Source organism: Homo sapiens, chromosome 18 (genome assembly GCF_000001405.40).
Source record: "Homo sapiens chromosome 18, GRCh38.p14 Primary Assembly".
Classification (NCBI taxonomy): Eukaryota; Metazoa; Chordata; class Mammalia; order Primates; family Hominidae; genus Homo; species Homo sapiens.
Genome location: NC_000018.10, coordinates 55091397 through 55105508, shown reverse-complemented (window position 1 = coordinate 55105508; position 14112 = coordinate 55091397).

The following is a 14112-nucleotide window of genomic DNA, read 5'->3' as shown; positions in this document are numbered from 1 at the left end:
CAAATAAAAATGTAGTTTCAATCCTTTTTCTAACCACCCAGAAATTTAGGTCTATCCTTTCTGGGAGAATTAGCCCCTCTGCATTGACACTTGCTGGCATGTGAATTTCTTTAGCCAAGTTATCACATTAATTCTCTCAACTACCCTGTGAAGTTGGTAAATGGAGCAGATGTTGTTAAATTCATTGGAACACAAGGAAACTGAGGCTCACAAGTTAGTTATTTTCCCCAAATGTTCCAATAAATAAGCAATGAAGCCAGAAGTTACTCATAGATAAGTTCTTCCATTATGTTCTTACCACTATGGCATACTGCATGGTCAATCAAAGCAAGCATAAAAGTGAAGTTGGCCAAGGGGGGTGGCTCACGAGTTCAGGAGATTGAGACCATCCTGGCTAATACGGTGAATCTCCGTCTCTACTAAAAATACAAAAAATTAGCGGGGCATAGTGGTGGGCACCTGTAGTCCCAGCTACTCGGGAGGCTGAGGCAGGAGAATGGTGTGAACCCAGGAGGTGGAGCTTGCAGCGAGCCAAGATAGCGCCACTGCACTCCAGCCTGGGCAACACAGCAAGACTCTGTCCCCCCCCAAAAAAAAAAAAAAAAAAAGGAGTTGTCATTTATTTGGTGGATGGGAATTTGTAGAAGACAGTCACTAAGAAAACTGGGTAAATTCTTATGATGCTAGTATGTTAGTCTCTTTTGAAGGACAATAGTCCATATTTGCTTCCTCTCACTCTTGGAAAGTGTGAAAAATCCACAACATGAGATTTGGGCAGGGACAAAAACCCAAACCAATATGTGTACCCACCCAAAGCTCATGTTGAATTGTAATCCCCAGTGTTGGAAGAGGGGCCTGGTGGAAGGTGGATTGGATCATGGGGGCGAATTTCCCCCTTGCTATTCTCATGATACAGTGAATTCTCCTGAGATCTGGTTGTTTAAAAGTGAGTAGCACCTTTCCCTTCTCTCTTCCTCCTGCTCCTGCCATGTAGATGTGCCTGCTTCCCCTTCACCTTCCACCATGATTGTAAGTTTTCTGAGGCCTCCCCAGCCATGCTTCCTTTACAGCCAGTGGAACCTTGAGCCAATTAAACCCCTTTTCTTTATAAATTATCCAGGCTCAGGTAGTTTTTTATAGCAACCTGAGAATGAACTAATACAGTGACTAAGAACTTCCCTGATGTGCTTCTGAAATAGTCTATATGAGGTGTATCTCTGTGTTATTCCAAGACCAGATCTATAAGTAAATTTTTACTGTTTATTTTGAGACAGAGTCTCACTCTGTTGTCAAGGCTGGAGTGCAATGACACAACCATGGCTCACTGCAGCTCAACCTCCCGGACTCAGGTGAATCTCGTGCTTCAGTTTTCCATGTAACTGGGACCACAGTTACTACACCCAGCAAATTTTTAATTTTTTTGTAGAGACAGGTCTCACTATGTTGCCCAAGCTGGTCTCAAACTCCTGGTCTCAAGTAATCCTCTTGCCTTGGCCTCCCAAAGTGCTTGGATTATAGGCATAAGCCACCATGGCAGGACTATAGATTTTTAAAGTTGAAGGTGCACAGTGACCTAGGATAGAGCTGGCACTGTGGATGACAGGAAGGTTCTGATTTTTTTCCCTCAGTGTTTCAAACACAAGCAGAGTAGGCACCTGTCCATCTGAGATCATTTCAGGAGAACTAGGACTTGCTCCATTTTATCTGCCTTGTTCATTCTCAGCTCCCCACAGCTAAATGGGTGAATGAGCTGCAGCTGTACACCCAAATTCACCCCTCATGCTGGGCCAAAATAACTTACCATCCTAGTCTCCCAACTGGTAGGGATTGTCATTAAGAATCTTTCCTGACAGATTTGATTCCTGGTGAGCCAGGGCAGTCCAACTGCCTTTGTTGCCATCAGGCAAACTGAAAGCCTGCATTGTGCTTCCTTCGGTGTCAGTGTTGACATATTGCTCCCATCCATCCTATACCCTATCTGATCCCCTCTTCTGGGACTTGAGCCCTTCCTTGAATCCTAGCCCATTTGGCTGGGGTCAGAACACCTTTCCTCTTCTCTTCCTCCCTCCTTTCCTGAGTTGCTAGAATTTTCCACCATATCACCATCCACTGGAAGGCGTCTTGTTCTAAGAGCACTGACAACATCTCAGAGTCACCTAACTCAAGGCTGTCTGTCCCCTGCCCTCTGGGCTCTTTGACTCTCAAGCTCCTACTTGCCAAATGGGCTGCCCTGGCCTTTGATAATTGCCTAAGCCACCCCTGAGCTTGGACACTGTGCTGTGTTTTTCCCAATTGCTCTCACCATGTCACCGTCTGGAACTTCAGTAGTTTACACAGACTCCATCCCACCAGGCACTAATATCCTCCCTTCCCGTAAGACTGTACTGGGAGGGTCCAGTGTGTCTTAGGACAACTGAGACTCTCCCATAAGATCACCATCTCCCAAATGAAACAAAATACCTCCTTCACCAGTAAGAATTTTGCCAGCAACTCTACTATCACAGTTTTTAACCTTTAAAAAAGAGATTGCAAACTGGCAGGATCTGGCTTGCATAATTGTTTCATTTGGCCTACACAGTGTTTATATTTATTTAAAAAATTGGTTTTTGGCTGGGCTCCGTCATTCATGCCTGTAATCTCAGCACTTTGGGAGGCTGATGTGGGAGGATCACTTGAGACCAGGAATTCGAGACCAGCCTGGGATATGTAGTAAGACCTCATCTCTACAAAAAAATTTAAAAACTAGCCATGTGTGGTGGCACAAGCCTGTAGTCCCAGCTACTTGTGAAGCTGAGGCAGGAGGATCACTTGAGTCTAGAGGTTTCAGGTTACAGTGAGCTATGATCGTTCCACTGCACTCCAACCTGGGTGACAGAGCAACACTCAATCTCTAAAATAATAATAATAACAATAAAGGCTTTCAGCATTTACAAATCAATTATGGATTTCTCAATTTTCTTAAAGATCTAAAGTTCTGGCACTGCTGGGCCAACATACTCCCTGGCCACAACTGCCTGGAGCAGAGGAGAAGTGGTCCTTAGGAGAGTCATGAGCTCTCTAGTTCCACGGCCCTCTAGCTCCCCTGTGGTCTGTCCTCCCAGAAGCATTTGGGTTTGCTACCCTGGCTTTCAGTTCTTGCTATCCTTTAAACCATGGGTCCCCAACCCTAACCAATACTGGTCTGTGGCCTGTTAGGAACTGGGCCGCACAGCGGAAGATGAGCGGCAGGCGAGCAAGCATTACCACCTGAGTTCCACCTCCCATCAGATCAGTGGCAGCATTGGATTCTAATAGGATCACAAACCCTATTGTAAACTGTGAGTGCGAGGGATCTAGGTTGTGTGCTCCTTATAAGAATCTAATACCTAATGATCTCTGGTGGAACAGTTTCATCCTGAAACCACCCCCGCCAGCCCCACTTCCCAGTCCATGGAAAAAATTGGCTTCCAGAAAATCAGTCCCTGGTGCCAAAAAAGTTGGGGACTGCTACTTTAAACAGTGCAATTTTCTTCCTCTTTCTCCCTCAGCCTACCTAAATAGACACACGTCACCAGTGTCAGCTGTTTTGCTTTATTGTAAGTGTAGATTTCTGGTAGGTGTAGATAGTGTTGTGGACCGTAGAGCTGGAGGAAGCCTGGAAGACTACAGAAAGAGGACAAGGTAACTGACGGGTTGAGGGTAGGACATTCACACCCCTGTTCTGAGGCATCCGTATAAAGGTGTTGTTGTTTTAATCTTCCTTACGGCATATGCCACAAGCTAAATACTGCAACTCATGGTGTAAATCATTAGTTAAGATGATAATGCATCAGACAGGCACAAACAACAGTCTTGAAAAATCATGGAAAAGTGCTTCTTAACTGTAGTTTTATCTTCCCACAGCCAGAATTCCTTTAGATATAATACTTTTCAAGACCTAGTTCTGTTGACTCATCTTGCTTGAACAATAATTACTGGTAAACCCTAGGTTAGAATTTAGAGATCATCTGGATAAGTGGTTCTCAATCCTGGCTACCTGTTAATACCAATCCTGGAAACTTAAAAAAACTCCAGATGCCTCGGCTGTACCTCAAAACAGTTAAATCAGGGTTTAACTGGGTCCCAGGCACCAGCATAAAAAAAAAATGCTTCCTGGATGATTCCAATACCCAGCCAAGAATGAGACTCACTTATCTAGATCTTGCCTGAAAATATCTGATTTTACTGAGGGTCAATGATTTACCCAAGACTACAAGGCTCAAGAGCTAAGACAAGAATTCCAATTTCCTGACTCCCTATCCAGGGCTCTCTACTTTACAATACTGCCAAAAAATGTGCCAGACCCTCTCTAATACTCCACAAACCCTACAAGATAGCAAGGAACCCCCTTTTTTTTTTTTTTTTTTTTTTTTAATAGCAGCGACTAAGCACTGGCCCAAGGCCAGAGGAAGAGAAAGGTAGAAGTGGTGTTCGATGGGGAAGCTTCTGCAGAGTGTTGTCAGAAGGAAGGGCAGATTCCATATGAGTGACTAATTAAGTAATATGATTCTCTGGTTTTTTTCATATGATGACTTTTAGCACTTTGAGACCTGAAACAATCTAAAAGCAACTTGGCAATCATCATTCATTTTTAGTGGAGAAATTAATAACTTGACAAGGAAACACTTATTAACAGTCTTTCCTGTCTAGAATGGCAGAATATAACAAGATTATTTGAATAAGAAGTTTATTCACTTCTTTTTATGAAAAAACTTTATTTTAATCTAATTTGAGACTACAAAAAGTTGCAAAAGTAGCACAGAATTCCTGCATACCTCTCACACAGCTTCCCTTGATGTTAACATGTTACATAACCATAACATAATTATTAAAACCAAGATAATTGCATTGGCACAATACTATTAACTAACCTACAGACTTTATTTAGATTTCACCAGTTTTATTTATTTATTTGTTTGTTTGTTTGTTTATAGAAAAGTCACTATGTTGCCCAGGCTGGTCTCAAACCCCTGGCCTCAAGCCATCCTCCTATGCCAGCCTTTTGAGTAGCGGGGACTACAGGGACAGCCACCACACTTGACTTAGATTTCACCAGTTTTTACACTAATGTCTTTTTTTTCTATCCCAGGATCCAGTCCAGGATACCACATTGCTTTTAATTGTCAGTTCTGCTTGATCTTCTCTAATCAGTGACAGTTCCTCGGCCTTTCTCTGTCTGTCATGACCTTGACACTCTGGAGACGTGCTGTTTAATTTGTAGAATGTTCCTCAATCCGGGTTTGTCTGATATTTTCTCATGATTAGAATGAGGTCATGCATCTTTGGTAAGAATATCATAGTAATGATGTTGTATGCTTCTCAGTGCATCCTATCGTGGAGCTCACAGTATCGGTCTGCCCTATTACTGGTGATATTAACCTTGGTCCCACCATTAAAGTAAAATCTCTTTATTGCTAATTGTCCAACTGAATAATTTGATCAGAAAACTTAACCCAAAAGGAACTCATATGCAGATTCTTATGCTTTGGTGAAAAAATGACTGGGTGGTATGATTTCACGGGGGCTGTTGCTCTAATTCTCTCATCTCCTCCCTCAACGAAATTCTTTATCTTGCAAGGACTGCTGCCTAAAATACCACCATCAGACCTTCACCCACTAAACCATGGCTTCAATTCCTATGAAAATATAGATGTTTGAGGGAAGAGATTCCCATGAACTGTGTTTAGCTGCTTCTGGGAGCACCTTTGCTCCCAGGGAGGAAGGAGTAAAAGGAAAGAGCAGTAAAGCATTTTCTGCTGCCATTTGGATATGGAGGGAATGAGGTTCCTAGAAAGATCCTGAACAGATTTGCTATATAAGCGCCAAAGTGATCTCTTTGAAGTACGTGTCTGATCTCCGATTATTTTGCTCAAACCTTTTAATTGGCTTCAGACTCGAGCCTCACCTTACCTTTGCCACCCCCAAGCCAGTGATCCAGAATTTCTTTCCATTCCCCAACTGTGATTTATCTTCAAATAGTGACACATGCCATTCCTAATCCTTAAAATATTCTTCCCCAGTCCACTTCCCTGGATTGACTTTTACCAACACAGGAGGTCTTAACGTAGTGATCACTAGACCTAGAAGGCCTTCCAAGAACTCACAAATTTAGGCATGTTGCCCTTCATAGCCTTCTGTGATTCCTCTTCTCTAAACTTAAAGGTGTCTCCTTATAGAGCAAGGGTTGGCAAAGAATAGCCCATGGGCCAAATCTGGCCCACTTCTTGTGTTTTTAAATAAAGTATTATTGCATCACAGCTATGCCTAATTCTTTATGTATTACCCATGGCTGCTTTCCTATTATAAAGGCAAAGTTGAGAAGTTGTGATAAAGACTGTATGACCTGCAAAGCCTAAAATATTTACTATCTTCCCCTTTACAGAAAATGTTTGCCAACCCTGTTCTAGACGTAAGTACCATATAAGCAAAAATAACATTAATCTTGTCTGCTATTGAATTCTTAGCTGTCATAACCCCAGGATTTAGCCCAAAGTAGATCTTCAATAAATATTTGTTGAATAAAGACAAATCTCACAATTTTATCCAGCACAGTGTTGTCTGTATGTTACAGCCAAGTAGAATGTCTAACGTTAACACAATTAAATTTTTAAAAAATCCATAATATTTTGTATTTGTTTCTGAGAATTGACCAATGGAAGGATGTCCATATGTTATTCTTAGCCTTTATACAGTATTTCTCATCCTGAAATTTAAAAAGAATGATTTCCAGTTCAATTAAACCCAGAAACCTCATTAGCAAGATGATAATGAGTTCATGTGACCTGTCCCCAGATCAGACCAACATTGACCAGTTTTACTAGAATTATTGGTTTTTGTGTAGACTCAGTAGCACATCCTGGTCCAGGTCAAATTTAAAAAATAATTTGGGAGTGCAGTGGCTCACACTTGCAGTCCCAGCTACTAGGGAGGCTGAAGTGGGAGGGCCACTTGAGTCCAGGAGTTCAAGACGAGCCTCGACGACCTAGGGAGATCCTTGTCTCTTAAAATAAATAATAATAATTTGGGATTCCCAGAGAGTTTCTCAGTGAAAATGTCAAACCTAACCAGATTAACCACTATTCCATAAGGACAAGAAGGAACTAAGATTTCCCATGCAAGTGAGTGACTAAAATTAAATTAACAAAATTAAGAGATAGACAGCAAGAAGCATGTTTGTGCTGCTTACTCTGAGTACTTGGACATCTCCTTTGTATTCACTCTAGGAGGCCCAGCTTACACCTGCCTCTAGCAGGGCTTATGGATTTTATTACCTCTCCAAATATGAAAAAATATAGACTTAGTTTGCAGACTCTTGACTTCCTCTGGGAGAGGGCTCAACATCAAAGCAACTATTTCTACAAACATTTAAAGCATCTTTTCTCTTCCTGCCTTCCTTCCCTGACTGCTTTGCTTTTGGAAACACTAAACACACCCAGTTTTCCAGGCTCCGATGGCTCAACAATACTACTTTTCCTTAGCAAGGAGCACATTACTGCCATGATTTATGGCTGGTGAGTAATTAGGAGCCTGTTGCTATGGTCTGGGGTTGAGATCAAAAGAACCATGTGTCAAAGTGAAGGGAGGGGTGACTGGAGCCCAGGCAGAAGGGTGGTGGTGTTTGTTTGTAATCCTAACCAGAGAGAAGCTGGGCCATCGCTTAATTGGGAAAAGGCTCAGCGTCTGAAGAAAGCTATGAAAGCGGAGCCTGTTCTAGAAAAAGAATCCGTGTGTTTTGCAAATCAACAATATTTAGTGATAGGTGAATCTCCAGGGGGCCTGGAGGCTGGACGGTTTGAATTAGTACTCAAAGGTTTGGAGAAAAAAAATGTGAAATGTATGAATACTGAGTATAAAAAAATTGCCCAAATTGGTTCGCTTATGAGATTTCTGGTATTTCCTTCTCTGGTCAAGAGGAAATGCCAAGGGAAGTACTGCAATATTTCAGTACTTCTGTATCTGCAATCCAATTTCCCAACGAATATCGATTCTCTCTTTCTCTTTATCCCTCCTCCTTCCTGGCCATGGAGGAGGACTTTGGCGGCAGAGATATGGAGCACATGGGTGGGTCCAAGCGTGGCTGGATGGAGGTTCATGGAGCTGGTTGGGGGTGGGGTAGGCAGGGGGTGAACCAGCTGGGCTCTGAGGGCTCTGGGGTTTCATCTGCTCTATATTTATGACTTTCTATAAATCACAACTGGGGCAATGGGAAAGGCCTTGGACAGAGTATAAGGAAACCAGTTTTCCAGTCCTGGCTTTGTTTCTAACGAGCTGTGTGGCCTTAGGCAAGTCAAGATTTCTGGGTCTCAGTTTCCTTATCTGTCAAATGAGATTGACTGACTTTGATGTACTCTAAGCTCCCATTCAGCTCTCAAATGCTATGGTCAGATTCCCCTACTTCAGCCCTTGAAACTGCAATGGGCACTCCCTTTCTGAGTAGAGGTCCCGTTCCACATTCCTTTTGAGACAGGAACGCTGAACCTGGGTGCAACTGGAAGGCATTTTAAAATGGAATATTCAATTCTGAAAGAGAAGCATTTGGATTCAAACACACACAGAGTGCAGATTGCGTGGACTGAACCGAAAGGACCTTTTTGGTGTTCACAAAGTAAACATAAAGCAACTGCGACCTCATTCACCTTGTGAAACCACAGATATCCAGATGATGCGATTAGGAACAGGGCTGCACAAAGTTAAAGTCCTTTCTCAGTGTTTGGACAAACCGACAGTGCAGTGGAAGGGATGGCTTCAATTTGCAGGGGGATTTTCCAACTCTTACCCACTTTGCCAGATAGAGTTGCAGATGACATTGGAAAAGCTAGGACCCTTTAGAAGATGTGTGTGTGTGTGTGTGTGTGTGTGTGCGTGTGTGTGCGTGTGTGCATGTGAGAGAGAGAGAGAGACAGAGAGACAGACAGAGGGACAGAGAGAGAGAGAAAGCAAGGATGAGCATCATGTGGGCTCAGGCTGCTGGGGCCTTGGCTCTGCCCACATGACCAGTAAACCATGCTGCCATCTAGTGTGGGCTCAGAAACTTCTTGGCGTGCTTAAGAGACATGGATGAGCATAAAGAAATGAAGGCATGAGTACGCAAAAGCTCCCAGGAAGAGGCACCATTAGTGTTAAGTGATGAGACCCCCATGGCCTCCTTTCTCCCTCTGATCACCCCATTTCTAGTTAAACACACACTTGCTTCTCTACGTAGCCTTCTTAGCACTTATGAAAAAAATCCCAAATTCCACATGAAGGCTCTGCCCATTGATAGTCATGCATTCTCCTTTTGAAAAGTAAAAAGTTAACATCAAAGGTCATAAAAAAAGTAAACTATTTGGCAGAAAACCAGGGGAAGAATATACAGATTATCCCTCACTGTGTTCCTCAACAGGAAAAGTGTCAACCTGGAGAAGTTTACTTTGCAAATTATAAAAGGGGATTTTATTTTCAAGTTAGCGAAAGGTGGGTATCTCAGGATTGACGTGACGCCATGAAATTGTACCCCTGAACGTCTCTCTGGAGCACATGCCCTACAGTGGAAAGGTATTCTTGATAAGGCAGATAATGGGTGGAATTATGCTAATCAAGAAAACCTTACAGGGTGAATAATTTAGTAACCCTTTTCTGAGAATAAGTGCCTATTTTAAAGTTCTAAATGACACCATAAATGTAGTCAGGCATAGATTTCCATACTGATATGGGATAATAAACACAGCCGGAGTCTGAAGCACCTTGAGGGACATCCTGCTGTGCTTATTATCCTGTACTTCCCTACTAATCACTGGAGCCTAAACCTTAATCCTCATGGCTTTGTTTACCTAGCACTTTGTCAAGTCCAATACATTTTGGTTCTTTTACCTTTCCCGGAAAGACAGCTGTAAGTATGGAACTTTGTCATTTTTCTCCTCCGCATGGACTTGAGATCTTTTGTTATAGTCTGAAGTCCACATTTTAAAATTTGAATTGCTGCTCCAGAATTTTTAAAAATACGTGATTAGCATCACATGGATGCTGAATAAGTCTTACGTTGCTATCTACAAACTTCACTCAAACACTAACAGTGTTTATGTTTCTAGACATTCTCCCATTGCCACTTTGGCTGACTTCATAGGGAGTAAATAGTGACAAAGCTTTGAAGGAATAAATTTGTTTTACTATAATACTGCTCTATTGTTTTGCATATTTGGGTTTTGCCAAAGATTCATTTCCTCAAAAACTTCCAGTGATAAGAAAAGTTGAAAGTCCACTCTCCCATCTCTATTCTTTTATATCTGCAGTGATTTGTGTCAAAGACACACGCTGATAGACCCTCTTAGCAGAACTCGGGCTGCAAATCTTACTGGTGATCTCACTTACTTAAACCATCTGAGGAAACAGGAGGGCTGGGAGAGAGAAGTCACTGTACAACTCTCTCTGAACAGTGACCAAATGTTCAACCAGATGCATGAGGAATGGGCTAAATGCAAACCTCAACTCAACCCTTCTGGAAGAGGAGTAAAGGTTCTGGTGATACTCAACTATGTGAGTAGTGGGAAGGGAAAGGGGACAGGAAAAAGACCATAGGATGGGACCATGTTTGTTCTGTGCCCACGTCACAATGCTCTTATTATTTCCCATGTGGGAGAGATGTATGCACTGACCACTGACTTTTAAATAGGTTATGGATCCCTAAGCCCTCACACAGGATGTCTTTGAAGGTTCATGTGGAGAAGGATGTCTTCTTCCTGCAGCATTGCAGCAGCTCTCTACAGGGCAGGTTTCAGGTGGTGGACTATGTTAAGTAAATAGGGACAAAGGTGACAAAAACATATCTAACACTATGAATGAAAAGTTGGGAATAAAGACTGAAAGGGTTTGGTGAAGTGCACAGACTTGGAAGTTAGGTGTGTGGGTTTTAACTCCAGATTGACCCCTTCTGAATTGTATAAGTTGTTTAACTATGCTCTGCCTCCATTTGTTCATCTTTAAATGAGTAGGTGTTTTTATGACAATAAAAACCACTACTACTATTATAGAGACAATAATACCTACTTATGGGATTGTTGCAATGATTACACAAATTAACAGGTATAAAGTATATAGAACAATGTCTTGCATGTAGTAATTGGTCAAGACATGTTATGAATTATTATGTCATTGTTAAAGGAAAAATTGGGTCTGGGTACTCTTAGCGTAACAAATAAAAAAGAGACAATGAGCTCAATTTTTGAACATATTCATATCCATGGATCAGTAGATCACCTAAGTTATATACCAATCAGTTTTGCTTTGGACCAAGCAGGAGATTCAGAGGCCCAGGACTGGCTGCATAATTTGCAGGCCCCCATGCACAATAAAAATGGGAATGTCTTGTTCAAAAATCATTAAGAATTTCAAGATGGTGACTGACAGCAGAACATTAAACCAAGCATGGAGCCCTTCTAAACATATGGTCCTGTGTGACTGCACAGGTTGCACACCCATGAGGCTTGCCCTGCAAAGGCCACATAAATCATGGCCTCTAGATGCACAGAGCTTACCCTCTAGCCCTCAACTCCTATGTGACCTTTTTCTTTTCACTTGGTACCTGTTGTTTCATCCTTTTGTGGTAGTGTGTTTGGTGTTTGAATTCATGGCTCAAAACACATGCTTCCTGGAAATCATGTAAGAGCCTTCAGATCCTGTCTCTATTTTCCCATATTTCCTGCCCTCTTCAATTCACTGCAATCTGGCTCTTGCCCCCCACCTGCCAAATCCCCATCATATTCTAACACCACTATCATCTGCTCTGAATTTTTGTGGGTGGAAACCAATGGCTTCTTAATTTTCTTCTTACAGTATTTGTCTCATTTAAACTATATAATCATTTACAGCTTGACAATGGATGACATTATCCTAAAATTCTCCTCTCTAACTTCAGTATATGTTACTTCAAAGTTCCCTATGTTTCTCTTCTCTTTTTCTGTTTTTTCTTTTTTTTTTTTTTTTCACTTCCTCAATAGCTCATAGTCCTCAGGGATTTATTTGTAATTTTCAGTCCTTGTTCTCATTCTTTCTCTACACATGCTCCTTGAGGATCTTACTTGCTCTGATGACTTCAGCTACCACTAAACAATGTCAATTCTCAAATAAGTATATTCACCCTTTTCTCTGCTGGTTATAGACCCATATTTCCAACTCACTCTAGACAGCTGTAACTGGACATCCTTAAGTGGCAACTCACTCAAAACACCTCAAACCAATTAATGTTTTCCTCATTCCTCTTTCTTCTATTGCCCATTTTTATTATACTATGACTTAGTAACCCCAGATGGAAACTATGGTCATCCTCAGCTTCACTGTCTGCCTTACCATCCAGCACCCAGTGCTTCCCCAGCTGCAGTTGATCCTATTACCTAAATATCTCTTGAATCTTTTCTCTTCTTTCCTTACTAGCTTGGTGCCCACCACCAATATAGTCTATCAGTCTTCATCTGTACTAGTCTGTCTTCTCACTGGACTCATTCTCTAGGTTTTCTACATTCTAGTTATATTCTTTACTTATCCTAAAAATGTTTTCTAAAATGTAAAGTTGTTCAAGGTAAATCCCTGCTTAAGGACCTCTATTGTCTGGTGGACAAAATTAAAAACTTCTTTGGAGAAGCACAAAGACTTTTATTTTTCTGATTCATTCCAGTTTACTTGAGGTTGGTCCTAGCTTTTAGTCTTCCTAATCACATACCTCAGCTCAAGCCATCTGCTGACCTTCCACCTTGTGGTGTCATCTCCTAGGTCTCCATGCCCTTGCACATACTGTTCCTTATGTCCAGAAATGCTTTTCACTGCATTCTCCAGTGAGTACATTCCTAATTATCTTTCAAGGTGCAGCTTATCTGAGACACCTTCCAGGAAATCTTTTCTGCTTTCTATACACCCATAGCACTTTGTGTGCACTTCCATTGATTGCAATTAGGTGTTCGCTTTCTCTGCAATTAGTGTCGAACTCTTGGAAATCAGCATTATGCTATATTCTTCTTCATATCCTCAGCACCTGGCACAGTCTGTGGCTCAGAGTAGAAGTGGAAACAGTGTATCATGAATGACCATGCTCTGCATAAAGTCAGAGGTTCACTAAAACCTCCGACTCATAAACATTGGGAGGGTTTTGTGTGTGTGTGAGTGTGTGTGTGTGTGTGTGTGAGTGTGTGTGTGGGTGTGTGTGTGTATAGTTATAAATGGTGGAACTTGGACCAAGGAGAAAGAAAAATCTAACAACTTTCTAATAAACAAATATTCAGTGCTGCCTCTGGATGCTCACATAAAGATGAGTTACCTCACTCTCCACTTTGACTCCGTAGAGGAGAGATTGGCATTGGGATTGAATATCCTCTCGAATTTCTTATCTCTCGAACTTATACAGTAACTGCTTTGTTGGATAAGATACAGCAAAAATATCTCACAAGTAATAGACTCTGTGATATTTCTACAACATCAGCAGTCCCTATTCTTTTTTTTTAATCTCTACTTACCCCTTTTTCCCCACTCAGATGTTTGTAATGAATTTTGTTATGTCTACTGTGGAGTGACTATTACACTTCTACTTTTAAGAACTTTTGTGGTTGGGCACGGTGGCTCATGCCTGTAATCTCAGCACTTTGGAAGGCCAAGGCAGGCAGATCATCTGAGCTCAGGAGTTTGAGACCGGACTGGCCAACATGGTGAAACCCTGTCTCTACCAAAAATACAAAAATTAGCTGAGTGTGGTGGCACACACCTGTAGTCCCAGCTACTTAGGAGGCTGAGGCAGGAGAATTGCTTGAGCCCAGGAGGTGGAGAGGTTGCAGTGAGCCGAGATCATGCCACTATTCTTCAGCCTGGGCAACAGAGCTAGACTTTGTCTCAAAAAAAAAAAAAAAAAAAAAAAAAAGGAACTTTTGTTTTTGTGAGAGAATGCCCAAAATATCAGATATCAAATATATCTTTTCTTTGATTATTAAACCCTGGAGTCAGTCTGGTCACATCATCTGTTGAGCTCCTTCGGTCACAGTGGCCAAAGTTACAGAATCAATCCTCCTATACATCAGTGCTGCTCCCAAAGATAATTACTACCTGCCGCCATCAACAAGCATACCTTTCTGTCACTAG